This window comes from Homo sapiens, chromosome 19, assembly GCF_000001405.40.
Source record: "Homo sapiens chromosome 19, GRCh38.p14 Primary Assembly".
Taxonomy (NCBI): Eukaryota; Metazoa; Chordata; class Mammalia; order Primates; family Hominidae; genus Homo; species Homo sapiens.
The window spans coordinates 14741904-14762954 of NC_000019.10; the positions used below are offsets into that span (position 1 = coordinate 14741904).

At 43.8% G+C, this 21051-nt stretch overlaps 1 protein-coding gene across 28 annotated transcripts in view, besides 2 other annotated features; it reads right to left on the bottom strand.

The window, feature by feature from the left end:
- Positions 1-21051, bottom strand: part of ADGRE2 (adhesion G protein-coupled receptor E2) — a 54390-nt gene that overhangs the window by 17733 nt on the left and 15606 nt on the right. For 11 of the 28 annotated variants that reach the window (XM_047438720.1, NM_013447.4, XM_047438725.1 and 8 more), the window contains 9 exons: positions 14335-14442; positions 13751-13974; positions 13051-13224; positions 10426-10623; positions 9533-9768; positions 4993-5059; positions 4329-4420; positions 1713-1881; positions 1517-1627 (listed from right to left, as the gene is read on the bottom strand). In XM_047438720.1, coding sequence (XP_047294676.1) covers positions 1517-1627; positions 1713-1881; positions 4329-4420; positions 4993-5059; positions 9533-9768; positions 10426-10623; positions 13051-13224; positions 13751-13974; positions 14335-14442 — 1379 coding nt within the window. Of the gene's footprint in view, positions 1-1516; positions 1628-1712; positions 1882-4328; positions 4421-4992; positions 5060-9532; positions 9769-10425; positions 10624-13050; positions 13225-13750; positions 13975-14334; positions 14443-21051 lie in introns of those variants that run through there. The other 17 variants (XM_047438728.1, XM_047438729.1, XM_047438723.1 and 14 more) reach the window with 5 other exon arrangements.
- Positions 16810-17333: an enhancer, noted in NCBI's record as "NANOG-H3K27ac-H3K4me1 hESC enhancer chr19:14869525-14870048 (GRCh37/hg19 assembly coordinates)". NCBI's record gives its function as "activates a minimal SCP1, AML or CMV promoter by ChIP-STARR-seq in naive H9 embryonic stem cells {active_cell/tissue: H9 hESC(naive)}" and the evidence as "EXISTENCE:reporter gene assay evidence [ECO:0000049][PMID:30033119]".
- Positions 17334-17859: an enhancer, noted in NCBI's record as "NANOG-H3K27ac-H3K4me1 hESC enhancer chr19:14870049-14870574 (GRCh37/hg19 assembly coordinates)". NCBI's record gives its function as "activates a minimal SCP1, AML or CMV promoter by ChIP-STARR-seq in naive H9 embryonic stem cells {active_cell/tissue: H9 hESC(naive)}" and the evidence as "EXISTENCE:reporter gene assay evidence [ECO:0000049][PMID:30033119]".

A 21051-nucleotide genomic window follows, 5' to 3' on the forward strand; every position in this document is an offset into this window, starting at 1 on the left:
AACTTTGTATGTCTACATTAATAAATGTTGGTTATTAGTCATCAATGTCATGAATTATCCCATGCCATTGAGGCATAGGATAATATGGCTTCAAGTGATCCCCAAGTTGTCCCGGGCTCAAGTGATCTTCCTGCTTTGGCCTCCCAGAGTGCTGGCATTACAAGCTTGAACCACTGTTCCTGGCTGATTTATAAAAAAGCATTTAAACTGAGATCATTGCTAATGGTTAATGAGTCAAGGAGTCGCTCAAATGTGAACCCTCTTAGGGCATCACCCGCTGATTCCCAGGTTGCCCAGTGTGTTTTTAAAACTTTATTTATTTAATTTTGTTATTTGTATTATTTTCTAGAGAAGAGGTCTTGCTGTCATCCAGGCTGAAATGCAGTGGCACAATCATAGCTCACTGCAGCCTCAAACTCCTGGGCTCAAGTGATCCTCTCACCTCAGCTTCCTGAGTTGCTGGGACTACAGATGCACACAACCACCCTCAGCTAATTTTTAAATGCTTTATAGGGACGAGGTGTCACTGGGTTGCTCAGGCTAGTCTTGAACTCTTGGCCTCAAGCAGTTGTCCTGCCTCAGCCTCCTAAAGTGCTGGGATTACAGGCATGAGCCACCATCGCTGGCCCCATTACTGCTTTTCTTTCTGAGTTTTGCAGTGGGTAGAGGGTGCTGAGTAGAGGCACTGCCCACTACCCACTACTAAGTGGTAGTTGGTAGAGGCAGACTTGTTAAGAAAGCCTAAATCCCAGTTAACACTTATTTCTGTTTAATTCATAAATATGTACAGCATTTCCTCCCATGCTTGCCTTATTGGGTGGTGGTGCCAAGTGACTGTGAGATAGACTTGTATGTAGAGGAAAGGGATAGGGTAAATGCTTCTAGGTAGAATGTGCATCACTGCTTCAGATCAATTCCTGCTCATTTAGTTAACCATGCATGGCACATAGTAGGTGTCCAATAGGAGTGTTTGTGTGTGAGAGTCAAACTAAGCACAGTTCCCTAAGGAGTAAGAGCCAAGGATTTTTTTTTTTTTTTTAATTTTTGGGATAGGGTCTCACTCTGTTGCCTGGGCTGGAGTGCAGTGGCATGATCATGGCTCACTACAGCCTCAACCTACTGGGCTCAAGTGATTGTCCCACCTCAGCCTCCCGAGGAGTAGCTGGGACTACAGGTGTATGCCACCATGTCTGGCTAATTTTTATTTTTATTTTTTGTAGAGATGGGATCTTGCTATGTTGCCCAGGGTCATCTTGCACTCCTGGCCTCAGGTGATCCTCTTGCCTAGGCCTCCCAAATGCTGGGATGACAGTGATGCTGGGATGACAGGCTATGACTGATTAAAAAAAAACATTTAAACTGAGATCATTGCTAATGGTTAATGAGTCAAGGCGTACTCAGATGCGAGCCTTTCTAGGGCATTGCCTGCTGTATTCCCAGGTTTCCTTGTGTGATAGGCACATGCTCCTCAGGTGGGTCGGTTAGTGAAGTGCTCTGGAGCAATGCGTGATCTTACCGTGCTGGGTTTGGAGGTGTCAGCCTTAGCACTGCTGGAGAGTGTGTGCATCTCAGACTCAGTTTTCAATTTCCTGATCCCTTTGGACCATTTCCCATATTGCTCCCGGACCTGCAGAGGCAAAGTGTGTACTGGGTCAGCTCACAGAGAGCAGTGAGGACAGGAAGAGTCCTGGGTGGGAGCTGGGCAGTGGTACCTGCTGGCTGAGGAGGCAGTACACCAGGAAGATGAAGACACCCTGCAGGCTGTTGATGATGGTGAAGAGGTAGGCCATGACCCGGGCAGCCGGACCCACCTGCAAGATGCCCAGACACCACGTGCAGCCCAGGATGAACAGCTGAGCTGTCGCTTTAAATGCCAGCATCCTGGATTGAGTAAGAAAGGAGGCTGGTGATGCACCCAGAGAAAGAGAATCAAGGCTATTTCATCTGTGCCCATGGAGTCCCCTGCCCTCCCCTGTAGATGATTTCTCAGACTGGGCTGTGGTCAGCTTAGATATTTACTGTCAACTATAGCCCACAGTAGAAATGCCACCTGGGGTTGGCCACGGTGGCTCATGCCTGTAATCCCAGCACTTTGGGGGGCCAAGGCAGGCAGATCACCTGAGGTCAGGAGTTCGAGACCAGCCCGACCAACATGGTGAAACCTGGTCTCTACTAAAAAAATACAAAAATTAGCCAGGTGTGGTCGGGGGGGCGCCTGTAATCCCAGCTACTCAGGAGGCTGGGGCAGTAGAATTGCTTGAACTCAGGAGGCGGAGGTTGCAGTGAGTCGAGATAGAGCCACTGCACTCCAGCCTGGGAGTGACAGAGCGAGACTCTGTCTCAAAAAAAAAAAAAGGATTATTTTTGAATATGCAAAGAGATTTCTGTGTTCATGAACTACACAGTCTCTTCAAATCACCAATACAACCAGGCATGACACACAAAATTTGGAAAGGATAATGATAGGAATCTAGAAGAAAGTTCATTAATTTTGCACAAGGGTGCCTGGAACAACAAACTGCTCAAACCCTGTAGAGGAATTATTTTTATTTTTATTTATTTATTTTTTTGAGATGGAATCTCCCTCTGTCACCCAGGCTGGAGTGCAGTGGCGTGATCTTGGCTCACTGCAACCTCTGCCTCCCAGGTGAAGTGACTCTCCCACCTCAGCCTCCTGAGTAGCTGGGATTATAGACGCCCACCACCATGCCTGGCTAATTTTTGTATTTTTAGTAGAGATGGGGTTTCACCATGTTGGCCAGGCTGGTCTTGAACTCATGACCTCAAGTGATCCGCCTACCTCGGCCTCCCAAAGTGTTAGGATTACAGGCGTGAGCCACCATGCCTGGCCCCCGTAAAGGATTTAATGTTGATTAGGATTTTCCCAGAGGGAGGATTGCATGAGAAGTGATGAGGAGCCTGAACTGAGGGTACGGTATGAAGGTGCAGACTGGGCTGTGGGAACAGGCAAGAAAATGTACGTGTTCTTTGCACTTTTTTTTTTGAGTTGGAGTCTTGCTCTGTCACCTAGGCTGGAGTGCAGTGGCGCAATCTCGGCTCACTGCAACCTCTGCCTCTCAGGTTCAAACAATTCTCCTGCCTCAGCCTCTGGAGTAGCTGGGATTACAGGCACCCGCCACCACGCCCAGCTAATTTTTGTATTTTTAGTAGAGACGGGGTTTCACCACGTTGGTCAGGCTGGTCTCTTTGGCCAGGCTGGTCTCGAACTCCTGACCTTGTGATCTGCCCCCGCCCCTCAGCTTCCCAAAGTGCTGGGATTACAGGCATGAGCCACCATGCCCGGCCTTCTTTGTGCTTTTGTTATAGGACTGCTGACAAAAGTCCAAAGAAGTTTTTAACCTTTTAGTTTATTGATTCGTAATGTTTGTACATCTTTGTGGGGACATATGTGATATTTTGTTAACATGCATAGAGTGTGTCATGATTAAGTCAGAGTATTTGGGGTATCCGTCACTTCGCGTGTCTACCATTTGTATGTGTTGGGAACACTTCAAATTCTCCCCTCTAGCTATTTTGAAATATACAACATATTGTGAACTAGAGTCACCCTACTCTGCCATCCAATATTATAACTTATTCCTTCTATCTGACTGTATGTTGTACCCATTAACCAACCTCTCTTCATCGCCTTGCCCACTCACATACCCTTTCCAGACTCTGGAATCTATCATTCTACTTTATTTTTATTTTTAGTTTTTGAGGCAGAGTCTCACTCTATTGCCCAGGCTGGAGTGCAGTGGTGTGATCTCGGCTCACCGCAACCTCCGCCTCCTGGGTTCAAGCGGTTCTCCTGCCTCAGCCTCCCGAGTAGCTGGGACTACAGGTGCCTGCCACCATGCCCGGCTAACTTTTATCATTCTACTTTCTGCCTCCACAAGATCAGCTTCTTCGGCTCCTCTCTATGTAAGTGACAACCTGTGGTATTTGTCTTTTTGTGCCTGGCTTATTTCACTTAAGAGAGTGACCTCCAGTTTCATCCATGTTGCTGCAAATGACATGGTTTCATTCTGTTTTGTGATCGAATCGTATCCTATTTTGTATATATACCATTTACCAGTCAATGAAGATTCTTCCTGTTGCTCTGGGATTCACAAACTGAGATTAGACATGGACAAAACATGTTGCATGGGGTCTCAACAGGATACCACTGAATCTGTGATGGCTGCCATAGAAGGATGGCTGCGTCTGTTTTTTCTGGGTCCCTTCAAAAGACCCTGAGAAGGGACCTCAGTGGCTGCTGAGGCACATGGCTTGGCTCTTGGGAACCATACATGTCTGTGTGGTTATCACCCCCTTCTCCATCTTACCTTGTGTTCCGGAGGGTGGACACTTCACTATTGAGGGAGGAGAGTCTGTTTTTCAAAATCCAGAGAGTCACCAGAAAGAGAACTAAATTCACCTTCAGAAAACCACAGAAGATTTGTTGAATAGATTTTGAAACCTGTTATCTCTTTTTTTTTTTTTTTCAGACAGGGTCTTGCTCTGTTGCCCAGGCTGGAGTGTGGCGGTGCAATCTCAGCTCACTGCCACCTCTGCCTCCCGGGTTCGAGCGATTCTCCTGTCTCAGCCTCCCGAGTACAGGCACCCACCACCACGCCTGGCTAATTTTTGTATTTTTAGTAGAGACAGGGTTTCACCATGTTGGCCAGGCTGGTCTTGAACTCCTGACCTCAAGTGATCTGCCTGCCTCGGCCTCCCAAAGTGCTGGGATTACAGGCGTGAGCCACCACACCGGGCCTGAAGCCCATTATCTCTTCATCCTAGCCTGTCTAATATGAATTATACACGTAAGTCTTTTTCTTAAATATTGAGTAACAGTGTTGAGTTTGAAGATTCAAGAGTGGTCTTAGGAAACCTAACCCAACCCATGACAACCCAGGGGACATTCCTGCTCTTGTCACCATCTTTATTATCTTGTTTTTCTAATGACCCTCAGCGGGGCAGCGAGGATGCTCAGATGATGTCACTCACAGAGAAGATGGCGCAGACAGGTCCAAGGAAGCCCCATATAAATCCCTTTTCTGGTTGGAGCCAGCAGCTGAAAAAAGAGAGATTAAAAAAAATGCATCAGTTTTTGGAGATATGGAACAGTTATGTAAATCTATTCCATCCCTCCTCACCACTTCCTCACTTCCTTCCTACGTCAACAATATTAAGTGTTTCTTTAGTGATAGGGTCTGTGGTTGGCTCTGAAGATACAGTGGTGGAGAAAATGAACACGGTCTTAGATCCCCAAAATTTCAACTCAAGGAAGATACACACAATCAGACACATTCAAACAATGAAACAAAAATGGAAGGTTGTGCCAGGCACAGTGGCTCACACCAGGACTTTGGGAGGCCGAGGTGGGAGGATTGCTTGAGACCAAGAGCTTGAGACCAGCCTGAGCAACATAGCAAGACCCCATTTCTACAAAAAATAAAAAAATAGCCGGGTGTGGTGGCTCACACCTGTATTCCCAGTTACTTGGGAGACTGAGGTGGGAGGATCGCTTGAGTCCAGGAGGTCGAGACTGCAGTGAGCTGTGATTGCACTACTGCACTCCAGCCTGGGCAACAGAGCAAGACCTATATTGCAGCATTTTAAAATGGCTGAATGAGGCCAGGTGCAGTGGTTCACACCTGTAATCCCAGCACTTTGGGAGCCGAGGCGGGTGGATCATTTGATATCAGGAGTTTGAGACCAGCTTGCCCAGTGTGGTGAAATCCTTTCTCTACTAAAAACACACAAAAAATGAGCTGCGTGTGGTGGCGCATGCCTGTAATCTCAGCTACTCGGGAGGCTGAGGCATGAGAATTGCTTGAACCCAGGAAGCAGAGAGCAGAGGTTGCAGTGAGCCAAGATGGCACCACTGCACTCCAGCCTGGGTGACAGAGTGTTTCTAAATAAATAAATAATGACTGAATGGTCTCTTAACGTTCCTTTTTATGGCTGAATAACATTTCATTGTGGATATATTACGTTTTGTTTATTCATTCATCAGTGATAGGCATTGTTTCCAATTTTTGACTATTCTAAATACTGCTTCTATGAGCATTCATGTACAACATTTTTCTAAACGTTTATTTTAGGTTCAGAGGTACATTTTGTAGGTTTGTTATGTAGGTAAAATGCATGTTGCGGCGGTTTGGTGTACAGATTATTTCGTCACCCTGGTCATCAGCACAGTACTCTATAGGTCGTTTATTTATCCTCGCCCTCCTCCCACTCTCCACCCTCAAGCAGGCTTCGGTGTCTGAAGTTTCCTTGTTTGTGTCCATGGGTACCCAATGTTTAGCTCCTACTTATAAGTGAGAACATGCGGTATTTGATTTTCTGTTCCTGCATTAATTCACTTAGAATAATGGCCTCCAGCTCCATCCATATTGCTGCAAAGGACATGATCTTGTTATTTTATTTTTTTGAGATGGAGTCTCGCTCTGTGGCCAGGCTGAAGTGCAATGGAGCCATCTTGGCTCACTGCAAACTCCACCTCCCAGGTTCAAGCGATTCTTGTGCCTCAGCCTCCCAAGTAGCTGGGATTACAGGCACCCACGACCACGCCCAGCTAACTTTTGTATTTTTAGTAGAGACGGGGTTTCACCATGTTGGCCAGGATGGTCTCAATCTCTTGACCTTGTGATCTGCTCGCCTCGGCCTCCCAAAGTGCTGGGATTCCAGGTGTGAGCCACCGCACCCGGCCGATCTCCTTATTCTTTATGGCTGCATCATGTACAAGTTTTTTTGTGGACATCGTTTTCATTTGTTTTGGGTATATACCTGGGTCATATGGTAGCTCTATGGTTAACTTTTGGAGGATTAGTGTTAATAGTTCACAAAACCAAAAACGGAAAAAGAGGAAGCACTTTCCAAATCTTCTACGAGGCCAGTGTTACTCTGACACCAAACCCAGAAATAGACATCACAAGAAAAGAAAACTGCAGACCAAAATCCCTTATGAAAATGAATGCAAAAATCCTCAAAAAAATACTAGCCGACCAAGTCCTGCAACATATTAAAAGGATTATATACCCTGACCAGGTGGTAATTATCCCAGGAATGTAAGGCTAGTTTAACATCTAATCATCCATCAATGTAATACACATATTAATAGAATAAAGGATTAAAGTTATATGATCACATTATAGTTATATAATTATGTAATCATATAATTATAAGATCACATTATAATTATATAACCATATAATTAGCCATATATAACCATATAATATTCCCCAGGACTCAAAGGTAAATAATTAATCATATATAACCATATAATTATATAACCATATAATTATAATGTGATCATATAATTTTAATCCTTTATTCTATTAATATGTGTATTAATAAAATAAAGAATTAAGGAAGCATATAATTATGCTTATATAATTATATGTAATTATATATGATATATACATATATAATATAATTATAATGATATGATAATATATGATTATACAATTTAATGTGATCATATTATTTATAGTTATATAATATAATTATTTATAGTTATATAATTATTTATAGTTATGTAATATAATTATTTATAGTTATGTAATATAATTAGTTATGTAATATAATTATTTAGTTATGTAATATAATTATTTATAGTTATGTAATATAATTATTTATGGTTATATAATTATTTATAGTTATGTTATGTAATTATTTATAGTTATATAATTATTTATAGCTATGTTATATAATTATTTATAGTTACATAATTATTTATAGCTATGTTATGTAATTATTTATAGTTATATAATTATTTATAGCTATGTTATGTAATTATTTATAGTTACATAATTATTTATAGCTATGTTATGTAATTATTCATAGTTACATAATTATTTATAGCTATGTTATGTAATTATTCATAGTTACATAATTATTTATAGCTGTGTTATGTAATTATTCATAGTTACATAATTATTTATAGCTATGTTATGTATTCATAGTTACATAATTATTTATAGCTATGTTATGTAATTATTCATAGTTACATAATTATTTATAGCTATGTTATGTAATTATTCATAGTTACATAATTATTTATAGCTATGTTATGTAATTATTCATAGTTACATAATTATTTATAGCTATGTTATGTAATTATTCATAGTTACATAATTATTTATAGCTATGTTATGTAATTATTCATAGTTACATAATTATTTATAGCTATGTTATGTAATTATTCATAGTTACATAATTATTTATAGCTATGTTATGTAATTATTCATAGTTACATAATTATTTATAGCTATGTTATATAATTATTTATAGTTATATAATATTAATATATAAATTACATAGATATATATTTATATAAAAATTACATATAAAATAATCTAATATAATTATATAATTATATGATTATCTAATTATGTGATCATATAATTTTTACCCCATATAATTAAAAATTATATGCTTCGGAAAAGCATTTGACAAAATCAAACACTCTTTCTTCATCAAAATACCGAACACATGAGGAATAGAAAAGAATTTCTTTAACCTGAAAAAGGGTATCTATGAAAAATCCTCAGCTAACATCATACATTAATGAGGACAGAGTCAATGCTTTCTCCCTAAGTACAGGAGCAAGACAAAATTGTCTGCTGTTCTAGTCAACAGTGTCCTGGAGGTTTCAACCAGTGCAATTGGCAAACAAACAAACAAACAAACTAGCTAGAAAAGTACCTGGCACAAAGTAAGCATCTCATAAATCTTAACTATGACAATATCAATTATTTTAGTTATTCAAATCAGGTCTACTTTTTCAAATGAAAAATTGGAGTATCCTAAAAGATTTAGATAAAGTAGGTTAGATTTTTAAAAAATGCTGTCTTGAGCACTTTGATTTCATTCTTACTATTTCAGTGAGACAGATTTAAATGCATTATCCCTAACTATTATTATTATTTTTTAGAGACAAGGTCTTTCTCTCTTGCTCAGGCTGGAGTGCAGTGGTGCAATCATAGCTCACTGCAACTTCGAACTCCTGGGCTCAAGCGATCCTCCCACCTCAGCCTCCTGAGTAGCTAGGACTACAGGTGTGTGCCAGTAGGCCCTGCTAATTTTTTAAATTTTGTAAAGAAGGGGTCTTGCTGTGTTGCCCAGGCTGGTCTCAAGATCCTGGGCTCAAGTGATCCTCCTGTGTCAGCCTCCCAAAGCACAGGGATTCCAGGTGCGAGCCACTGAGCCTGACCCTCCTTAATTATTATAATCTTCTAGCAGAAAGATGCCCTAGGGATTATGACATAGTGTCTTTGTCCTATTCGTGCTTTCCAAAGGCTTGCCCTTTATTTCATTCAGAAAATTTCCGAAAACCCTCTTCTACAATGCCTAGCTTGAAATGTAATTGAAATAAACTCAATAGCTAAGAATAAGGAGCTGCAGTGTAATCCAACCAATAGAGCCTAAAATCCCTACTGATCTAATTAAAAGCAGGTGTCATAAAAATGCTATCTAGGTTCTAGCAATGGCCATGGTTATGCCGGAGAAGATAAGGATTGTGAGAATTTGCACTAACCGGGAAGGTGTTCCATAAAGGTGAGGCCTGGAGGCTGCAGAAATGGCCACTGTCACAGCTGGGACTCCGTAGCCCACAGGGAACATGAGCTTCTTCATGAATCTGTTGATGCTTGAGTAGTTGACCACCGTCAGGTTCCGTGCAGTGAGGAAGAGGTACAGGGCCTCCAGCAGCATCCAGGTCAAGGTGGCCAGGTAGAGATAGTGCAAGGTACCGGCGATGATGGAGCACAGCACCTGGCGGAGAAGTAAAAGACGCCCAGAGCGGCGATCAGATTTGAGTGTGGCCCATGGCTTCTCCTGTACCATGTTGTTGGGGAGAATTCTGAGATATTTGATGGCATTATAGAGAATATTTGCTGTGTAGTTGAGTCAGGCAATGGGAAATTGGTGGTGTTCTCTTCTAATATTCCCCAGGACTCAAGGGCCTATATATATATACGTGTATATATACGTATACACACACACACACACACACATATATATATATATATATATTTTTTTTTTTTTTTTTTTGAGACGGAATTTCACTCTTGTTGCCCAGGCTGGCATGCAATGGTGCGATCTCGGCTTACCACAACCTCCACCTCCTGGGTTCAAGAGATTCTCTTGCCTCAGCCTCCTGAGTAACTGGGATTACAGGTATGCGCCACCATGCCTGGCTAATTTTGTATTTTTAGTAGAGACGGGGTTTCTCCATGTTGGTCAGGCTGGTCTCAAACTCCCGACCTGAGGTGATCCGCCCACCTCAGTCTCCCAAAGTGCTGGGATTACAGGCATGAGCCACCACGCCCAGCCGGGCTATTATATTAAGGAATCAAATGCCGCATCATTCCATGAGCCAGCGTGTCCTGCGTCAAGGAAGGGAGCCCTCTGGAACACCGCTGTCAATACCTTGTGTCCGGTTTGATCAATTGCCACGAGGAAGAGGAGGTGGGCCAGGAAGAGGCAGAGCGAGAGCTGCAGATGCAGTGAGGTGCTGGTGTTCTGGATGGCTTTACACAGGAGAAAAGTGAGGGCCGCCAGGAGGAGGCACAGCAGAGAGACGCTCAGCCCCATGTAGGTGATGACAGTCAGCACGGGATCCTCCTCCTGGGACCCGGAAAAGAAGAGTTCACAGTGATGCTTTCCTGCTCTGGGGTAATGACCCCACCACCATTTAAAATTTTTACTTTGGCATAGCACATTCAAGAATGAGGGAGCCAGGTAAATTTGTGAAGATGTCACCAATTTAATTTAATTTGCGAAGGTGTCACCCGAGCCTCATGGGTGGCTAGGAATACAGGCGTAGTCATGTAGGTGACAACGGGTGTGCATTATAGTCATGTATGGCACCATGCCCTGCTAATTTTTTTTTTTGACAGTCTTGCTCTGTCGCCCAGGCTGGAGTGCAGTGGTGCGATCTCTGCTCACTGCAGCCTCTGTCTCCTCGGTTCAAGCGATTCTCGTGTCTCAGCCTCCCAAGTAGTTGGGATTACAGGCACGTGCCTCCATGCCAGGCTAATTTTTATACTTTTAGTAGAGACAGGGTCACACCATGTTGGCCAGGCTGGTCTTGAACTCCTGACCTCATGATCCACCCGCCTCGGCCTCCCAAAGTGCTGGGATTACAGTCGTGAGCCACCACACCCGTCCTAATTTTTTTTTTATTTTTGTAGAGACAGGGTCTTTCTGTGTTGCACAGGCTGGTCTCGAATTCCTGGGCTCAAGTGATCCTCCCGTTTCAGCCTCCCAAAGCACAGAGATTCCAGGTGTGGGCCCGTTAGGTTTTGAAGGGAAAGTGAGAGTTAAAGAAAGACAGAGAGTTGGCAGCTCTACAGCAATGCAGGTTTATGTCCAGCAGGAGACTTGTGGAGGGGGGAGCTAGCTTCGTGCCAGAACCCACTGCCGCTTACAGGCTGGGGTAATTACAGGTCTGGGCGGGAGGGGCTGGGCGGTATGGCTTGCTGCCTGGGAGGATATTGATAAGATGTTCCTGTCATGGAAAACAAAAGGGTGGTTTGGCCCTTTCTCCCGCAGGATATGATGATGATGTCCCTTGGATCTACTCTAAGTGATGAGATAAGAAAGTCAGGTGGGCGAGGTGTGGTGGTTCCTGCCTGTAATACCAGCACTTTGGGAGGCCGAGGCGGGTGGATTACTTGAGGTAAGGAGTTCGAGACCAGCCTGGCCAACTTGGTGAAACCCCATCTCTAGTAAAAATACAAAAATTAGCCGGGCATGGTGGTGCATGCCTGTAGTCCCAGCTACTCAGGAGGCTGAGGCAGGAGGATCCCTTGAACCCAGAAGGTCAAGGCTGCAGTGAGCTATGACTGTGCCACTGCACTCCAGCCTGGGTGACAGAGACCCTGTCTAAAAAAAAAAAAAAGGCAGAGTTTACCCTGGGTGGGCCAGACCTAATCAGATGAGTCTTTATAAGCTCTGGGCTCTTCCTGGAGAATCAGATTCAAAACTTGTGACGGTTAATACTGGGTGTCAACTTGATTGGATTGAAGGATACAAAGTATTGATCCTGGGTGTGTCTATCAGGGTGTTGCCAAAGGAAATTAACATTTGAGTCAGTGGACTGGGAAAGGCAGATCCACTCTTAATCTGGGTGGGCACTGTCTAATCAGCTGCCAGCGTGGCTAGAATATAAGCAGGCAGAAAAATGTGAAAAGAGAGACTGGCCTAGCCTCCCAGCCTACATCTTTCTCCTGTGCTGGATGCTTCCTGCCCTTGAACATCAGACTCCAAGTTCTTCAGTTCTGGGACTCGGACTGGCTCTCCTTGCTCCTCAGCCTGCAGACGGCCTATCGTGGGACCTTGTGATCATGTGAGTTAATACCTAATAAACTCCCCTTTATATATATCTATATCTATCTATATATATAGATCTCTCTCTATATATCTCTATATATGTATATATTTGAGTCAGTGGGTTGGGAAAGGCAGATCCACTCTTAATCTGGGTGGGCACCATCTAATCAGCTGCCAGCGTGGCTAGAATATAAGCAGGCAGAAATTATCTATCTATCTATCTATCTATCTATCTATCTATCTATCTATCTATCTATTCCATTAGTTCTGTCCCTCTAGAGAACCTCGACTAATACAAAGCTTAAGAGGGATTCTGCGTGAGGAAATTTTTTTCCTTGTCCTCCAGATAGGAATGCTAGAAGTTTGCCAGAGGGTCATGTGAGAAGGGATATGAGTGGCCTCTAGGAACTGAATGTGATGCCTTCCTGACAGCTAAGAAAGTGAGACTTCAGTCCTACAATCACAAGAAACTGAATTCTGCCAGCAACCAGGGAGCTTGGAGAAGGACCTCAAGTCTCAGATGAAATGGCAGCCCTGGGGGTGGGGTGACATGATGATTTCAGTCTTGTAAGACCCTGAGCAGAAAAGCCATCTTGCTATGCCAGCTTGCTGACCCAGAGCTGTGAGATAATGCATATATTTTTTTAAAAGGCTGCTACGTCTCTGGGGATTTGTTACACGGCAATAAATGCAGAGTGCATCCCCTCCTAAGGGTCTCACCTGCACATCGTAGTGGGCCATGAGGACGGCAAAGCTGCTCAGGTGGGTGCAACGGCAGATGGTGCTGGTGTCTCTGGTGCCTATTGTGCTGCAGCCTGTGGTGGCCCAGTGACCACATCCATTCTGGCCATGCTCCCAGAAGACACAGAGCACCTTCTGTCTCGGGATCACTGACTGCAGGAACAGAACACAGGTGTGGGCTGGGCATGGTGGCTCACGCCTGTAATCCCAGCACTTTGGGAGGCTGAAGCAGGTGGATCACTTGAGGTCAGGAGTTTGAGACCAGCCTGGCCAACATGGTGAAACCCCATCTCTACTAAAAAAAAAAAAAAAAAAAAAAAATACAAAAATTAGCTGGGCGTGGTAGCACACACCTGTAGTCCCAGCTATTAGGGAGGCTGAGGCAGGAGAATCGCTCGAACCTGGGAGGCGGAGACTGCAGTGAGCTGAGATCGTGCCACTGCACTCCAGCCTGGCTGACACAGCGAGACTCTGTCTCAATAAAAAAAAGAACACAGGTGTGAGCTGGTGGGTCGGATGCTCAGAAATGCTTACCCAAAGCCGGCTTGGGAAGGACTGACTTTCCTGGGGAGATAATGTACCCATAACAGAGACCCCTGAGCCCCAGGGCTGAGCTGAGCAGCAAGGCTATGCCCGGACTCAGACTATTCACCCACCAACCAACTCCACCAGCACTCACACGGTGGGAGAAGGTGAAGGTAACTGGGGAGCTGAGGTTTTGGGTGTCGTTGTTGCTCAGAAAGGCAGAGATCACATCTGAGAGCAGGATGGGGGAGCCGTCCTGCAGCAAGCCCTGGTGTGTCTCATGCAGAAGCATCTGCTTCTCAGGTTCCAGGACCAGAGGGGCCTCAGCCAGCAACTTGCCCATCCCTGGAATGGAGACAAGGCCCACCACAGAAGGGCCTGCAGGGCGAGGCCAAGGTTGAATCTTGGAGTAGGTTGAATCTCTGGGTCCACACCAGAGTTCCTCTGCCCTGCACAGAACTTTCTACTCAGATGGGCTACCTTCCTTTGGCTTCACCCCTCCCACACTTTCCTTCAATCTTTAGTTCTATGTGTATCACATCCTGCAGGACAAGGCCACGGTTAATATCTCAGGGTCCCCAACAAGGTCCGTTCCTCCTCAGCTGGACTCTCCTCTTACAGCCCCACTCCAAACATCCCACACTTCCCTTTAATCTTTAAATTTCTTATTTTTCACATTCTTGGGCATCTTTTCCCACCATGAAGCTTCACTGACCACCTCCCCATCTCAGCCATTACCTGGGTCACCAGATTTCTGTGCCTGATTCCAGTCGAGCTGCATCACTGCCTGATTCTGTCTCAAGGTGACACTCCTGTCTACTTGCTTCTGCACCTCCAGGGACAATTCTATGAGTTGTGGGAATTACATAAGGGGGGTTAGGTTAGGAATCGTGCCTGCAGTGGTTGATATACTATGACTTAATATATATACTATATACATATATAGTCTGAAGTTACAAAATATCGGAAGAGAATAGTGTGAGCAACTGTATATCTACAAAGTAGGTAACCTAGATGAAATGGACACATTCCTAGTGACACACAAACCACTGAAATCAACTCAAGAAGAAATAGAAGATCTGAACAGACCTATAACAGATTAAATCAGTAATCAAAACCTCTCAAAACTAACAGCCCAGACCAGATGACTTCACTGGTGAGTTCTACCAATAGCTTAAGAAAGAATGAACATGAATCTTTTACCTTTTTAAAAATATGGAAGAGGAGGAAACACTATTTAAGTAATTTTATGAGTCTAATATTGCTCTGATAACAAAACCAGATGAAGACATCACAAGAAAATAAAATTATAGACCAATATTTCTTATGGACATAGATGCAAAAATTTTCAGCAAAAATGTTAGGAATACATTTTACGAAGGAGACTCAAGACTTATAGGAAAGTTTTTTGAGTATTTTTTTTTTTTTGAGACAAATTCTCACCTGTTGGTCAGGCTAGAGTGCAGTGGCATGATCATAGCTCACTGCAGTCTCCTGGGCTCAACCAATCCTTCCACCTCAGCCTCCCAAGTAGCTGGCACTACAGGTGCTCACTACCACAGCCAGCTAATTTTTAAATTTTTTGTGGAGATCATGTTTCAGTATATTTCCAAGGCTGGGCTTGAACTCCTGGGCTCAAGCAATTCTCCCACCTTGGTGGCCTCTGACAATATTGGGCGTGAGCCACTGCTTCTGGCCTACAAAAGTGTTTGAAAGAAATAAAAGGCCCTCTCTAAATGGAAAGACAGCCTATGTTCATGGATTGGAAGACTTTCTATTGTTAAGATAACAATACTCCCCCAAAGTGGTCTAGAGACTCAATGCAATCCCTATCAATATTTTAGCCTATTATTACTTTGCAGAATAAGAAAAGTTCATCTTAAAATTCATATGGTGTTGTAAGGAATCCAAATACCCAAAAACAATCTTGAAGAAGAACAAGAAGGTTGGAGAATTCACACTACCTGATTCCAAAACTTACTACAAACTGACAGTAATACTGGCATAAGGACACAACAGAATAGAATTGAGAGTCCAGGAATAAACCCATCCATCTTATGGTCAGTTGATTCTCAACAAGGGGTGCCAAGACTATACAATGGGGGAAAGAATAATCTCTTCAACAAATAGTGCTGGGATTACTGGATAGTAACATGAAAATAAGGAAGTTTTAACCCTACCCTCACACAACAAACAAAAATTAACTCAAAATAAGCCAGTGACCTAAGCTTAGAAGCTAAAACTAGAACACTTAGGAGGAAACAGGGGTAAATCTTCCTGGTCTTGGATGCGGTAATGAATTCTTTTTTTATTTTTATTTTTGGGACAGAGTCTTGCTCTGTCATCCAGGCTGGAGTGTAGTGGCACAATCTCAGCTCACTGCAACCTCCGTGTCCCAGGTTCAAGCAATTCTCCTGCCTCAGCCTCCTGAGTAGCTAGGATTACAGTCATGTGCCAACACATCTGGTTAATTATTTTTATTTTTATTTTTAGTAAGGACAGGGTTTCGCCTTGTTGGCCAGGCTGGTCTCAAACTCCTGACCTCAGGTGATCCGCCCACATTGGCCTTCCAAAGTGCTGGGATTACAGGCGTGAGCCACCACCCCCTGTCAATGAATTCTTAAATATGACACCAATTGCACATGCAACAAAAGAAAAATTAGATAAAATAAATGTCTTCAAGATTTAAAACTTCTATTCATTAAAGTGAAAAGACAAGAAAATGAAAAGACAATCTACAGAACGGGAGAAAATATTTTGCAAATCATTCATCTCAGATGATCTACTATCAGAATGTTTAAAGAATGCTTACAACTGGACAACCAAAAGACAAACAGCACAATTAAAAATAGGCAAAGGATTTGAATAGACATTTCTCCAAAAATGACATGCAAATGGTGAGCAAACACATGAAAAGATGTTAAACATCATTAGTTATCAGGGAAGGGCAAATCAAAACCACAATGAGGTATCATCTCACTAGTGAAGTGGTGTAAATACCCAAGTTTCACTGTTTCACACCAGGGAAATTGAGGATGTGGACACATAAGAAGTTAGTTTAAGAGTGGAGATTTAATAGGCGAAAGAAAAAAAGAATAGCTCTGGCTGGGCGCAGTGGCTCACGCCTGTAATCCCAGCACTTTGGGAGGCTGAGGCGGGAGGATCACGAGGTCAGGAGATCGAGACCAACCTGGATAACACGGTGAAACCCCGTCTCTACTAAAAATACAAAAAAATTAGCTGGGCATGGTGGTGGGCGCCTGTAGTCCCAGCTACTCCGGAGGCTGAGGCAGGAGAATGGCGTGACCCCGGGAGGCGGAGCTTGCAGTGAGCCGAGATCGCGCCCCTGCACTGCAGTCTGCGGGACACAGCACGACTCCGTCTCAAAAAAAAAAAAAGGAAAAAGAGAATAACTCCCTCTCCTGCAGAGAGACAGGGGCTCCCAAGTGGGTCTTCCGGTTGCGTGGTGAAATGCACGAAGTTTTATAGATGAGCTTGGGTAGGCGGTGTCCGATTTACATAAGGCTTAAAGATTGGTCTGAACAGGTGAGCCATTTACATACAGCATGAAGAAACTGGCTGCCCCAGCCTAATCTTTTATTATGCAAATGGATTCTCTACCTGGCTGGCTCCACGTTGCCTGCTTCTGTACTGTACACGTGGTTGACAAAGATAAAGGAAGAGGGAGCCCCCACGTTGAACATGTCGGGCCCCCAGGTAACCTTTTCCTATTGGCACAGCTGCCGGCATTCACCCGTGCAAGCTTCCAGCTTGCTTTTCTATGTCTGCAGCTCGAATTTTCAGGCTGCTCGTTATTAGAAAAGAAATGATTTGGGGGCTGGTTTTTATTAAAAGGGAAACCTTACTGAGGACTCTCTGACCCTTGCTAACTGCCTAAATAATTTCTTTTTCACTCCTGTATCACTGGGATGAAGAGAGGTGAGTTAACAGGTAGAGACATACAGTTAGACAAAAAGTATAAGTTATACATATATATATATATATTTTTTTTTTTTAGACGGAGTCTCACTCTGTCACCCAGGCTGGAGTGCAGTGGCACGATCTCAGCTCACTGCAGCCTCTGCCTCCTGGGTTCCAGCGAATCTCCTGCCTCAGCTTCCCAGGTAGCTGGGATTACAGGCACGTGTCACTAAGCCCAGCTAATTTTTGTATTTTTAATAGCCAGGGTTTCACCATATTGGCCAGGCTGGGCTCAAACTCCTGATGTCAGGTGATCTGCCTGCCTTGACCTCCCAAAGTGCTAGGATTACGGGTGTGAGCCACCAAGCCAGCCACCTCTCCGCTTATTAAGCAGATTTTTTTTTTTTTTTTTTTTTGAGACGGAGTCTCACTCTGTCACCCAGGCTGGAGTGCAGTGGCACCATCTTGGCTCACTGCAAGCTTCGCCTCCCAGGTTCACGCCATTCTCCTGCCTCAGTCTCCCGAGTAGCTGGGACTACAGGCACCCGCCACCACGCCTGGCTAATTTTTTGTATTTTTAGTAGAGATGGGGTTTCACCCTGTTAGCCAGGATGGTGTCGATCTCCTGACCTCGTGATCCTCCCACCTCGGCCTCCCAAAGTGCTGGGATTACAGGCGTGAGCCACCGTGCCCGGCCCAAGTTCTATTGTTTGACAGCAGAGCAGAGTGACTATAATTAACAAGACTGTATGATGTATTTCAAAGTAGTTACAAAAGAGGACTTCAATTGTTCCCAACACATACAAATGATAAGTACTCAAAGTGGTGGATACCTGAGATACCCTGACTTGATCGTTACACATTCTAGGCAAGCAACAAAGTATCACATGTACCCATAAATATGTAAGATTTATGTATCAATAAAAGCAATTAAAAACAGAACAAAAGAAAACGGAAGTAACAAGTTTTGCTGAAGGTGTGGAGAGGATAACCCGTGTATGTTTCTGGTGGGGAATTAGAATGATGCAGCTGCTTTGGAAAAAGTTTGGTGGTTCCTCCAAAAGCTGAACATAGAATTACCATATCACCCAGCAATTCCACTCCTTAGTATATACCCCAAAGAACTGAAGACAGTTATTCAACCCAAAATGTGTCCACTAATATTCATAAGAGCACTATTCACACCAGCCATCTAAACAAAAAAAAAAAATTCGAAGTCCTCTCCCGCCCCCCTCAAAACCATCTGAATGGACTTCCTTTTTGGCCAGGGCACTCTAAATTTAACTGGAAAGACTAGTTCAGGCTATGGTGGGAAGTGGGGGGTCTGACATGTGTCATGCCCTCCTCCCTTTTGGAGTTGAGGAAAAGCTGACCAGCATTTAACATAACACAGACCTGAAGCTTAATAAGGAACATTTACCATCTATTCTCTCTGAAGCCTGATACCTGAAGAGTTCATCTGGATGATACAACTTCAGCCTTTACAGCCCCTTATCGTATTCCAGACATTCTTTTCTATGGATAATAACTCCTTCAACCAACTGCCAATCAGAAAAGCTTAAATCTACCTATAATCTGGAAGCACCCGCCCCACACCTCCACTTCAAATTGTCCTGCATTTCTGGACTGAACCAATGTATAGCTTAAACATATTTGATTGATGTCTCATGTCCCCCTAAAATGTATAAAACCAAGTTGCGGGGGCAGGCGTGGTGTCTCACGCCTGTAATCCCAGCACTTTGGGAGGCCGAGGCAGGCGGATCACGAGGTCAGGACATCAAGACCATCCTGGTTAACATGGCGAAACCCTGTCTTTACTGAAAACACACAAAATAATTAGCCGGGCGTGGTGGCGGGCGCCTGTAGTCCCAGCTACTTGGGAGGCTGAGGCAGGAGAATCGCTTGAACCCGGGAGGTGGAGTCTACAGTGAGCCAGGATCGCACCACTGCACTCCAGCCTGGTTGACAGAGCAAGACTCTGTCTCCAACAGAAGACAACAACAACAACAATCACAACAAGCTGTACCACGACTACCTTGTGATATAGAAGTTAAAAAGGAATTATTTAGGCAGAGAGTGTGGGTAAGGAAGTCCTGGGTAAGTCTTTCCTTTTAATGAAAATCAGCCCCTATATCATTTTTTTTTTTTCTAACAAAGAGCAGCCTGTAAAATCGAGCTGCAGACATAGGCAAGCAAGCTGGAAGCCTGCACAGGTGAATGCTGGCAGCTGTGCCAATAGGAAAAGGCCACCTGGGACTAGGCATGTTGAAAATGGCGGCTCCATCTTCCCATCTCTTTGCCAACCACGTATACAGTAAGGAGCTGGCGAAGACTCCATTTGCATAATAAGATTAGGGTGGGGCAGCCAGCTTCCCTGCACCTTATGTAAACGTCACACCTGTTCCAACCAATCTTTGGGCCCTATGTAAATTAGACACTGCCTCCTCAAGCCTGTCTATAAAATCCGGTGCCCTCTGGCATGGGTGGGAAGTCCCATTTGGGCATTCCTTTCTCTCACAAGAGAGAGAGTTGTTCTCCTTTCTCTTTCTTTTGCCTATTAAACCTCCACTCATAAACTCACTCCTGGTGTGTGTCTGTGTCCTTAATTTTCTTGGCATGAGGCAATGAACCTCAGGTATTACCCCAGAAAACAACACCACTTCACTTGGGAATATGTTCTCAGGGGCTCCTGAGGGCTGTGTCACGGGCCATGGTCAGTCATACATTCATATTTAGCTCACAATAAATCTCTTCAAATATTTTACAGAGTTTGACTCTTTTTGTCAACAGCCAAAAGGTGGAAACAACCCAAATGTCCATCAATGGATGGATGGATAAAAAAAAAAAAAGTGATGTATTCATACAATAGAATAGTATTCAGCCATGAAAAAGAATGAAATATTGATAAATGCTATGGCATGCATGAACCTCAAAACCATTATGCTAGGTGAAAGGAGCTAGACTAGATGGTCACATATTGTATGATTCCATTTATGTGAGATATCCTGATTAGGAAAATCCATGGAAACAGAAAGCAGATTAGCGGCTGCCATGGGTTGGAGGAAGGGAGGAATGAGGAGTGGTTGCTTACCATGTGCAGTGTTCACTTTTGGGCTGATGCAAGCATTTTAGAAATAGAGGTGACGGTTGTATAACTTTCTGAATATACTAGATTCTACCGAAACACACGCTTTTAAAATTTTTTCTTATTTTTATTTTTAATTTTAATTTTTTTGTTTGAGATGGAGTGGCACTCTGTCTCACGTAGTCTGGAGTGCAGTGGTGCAAACTTGGCTCACTGCAACCTCTGCCTCCCAAGCTCAAGTGATTCTCCTGCCTCAGCCTCTTGAGTAGCTAGGATTACAGGTGTGCACCACCACGCCTGTCTAATTTTTGTATTTTCAGTAGAGATGGGGTTTCACTATGTTGGCCAGGCTGGATTTGAACTCCTGACCTCAAGTGATCCACCCATTTCAGCCTCCCAAAGTGCTAGGATTACAGGTGTGAGCGCCTGGCATTACAGGCACGCCCCAC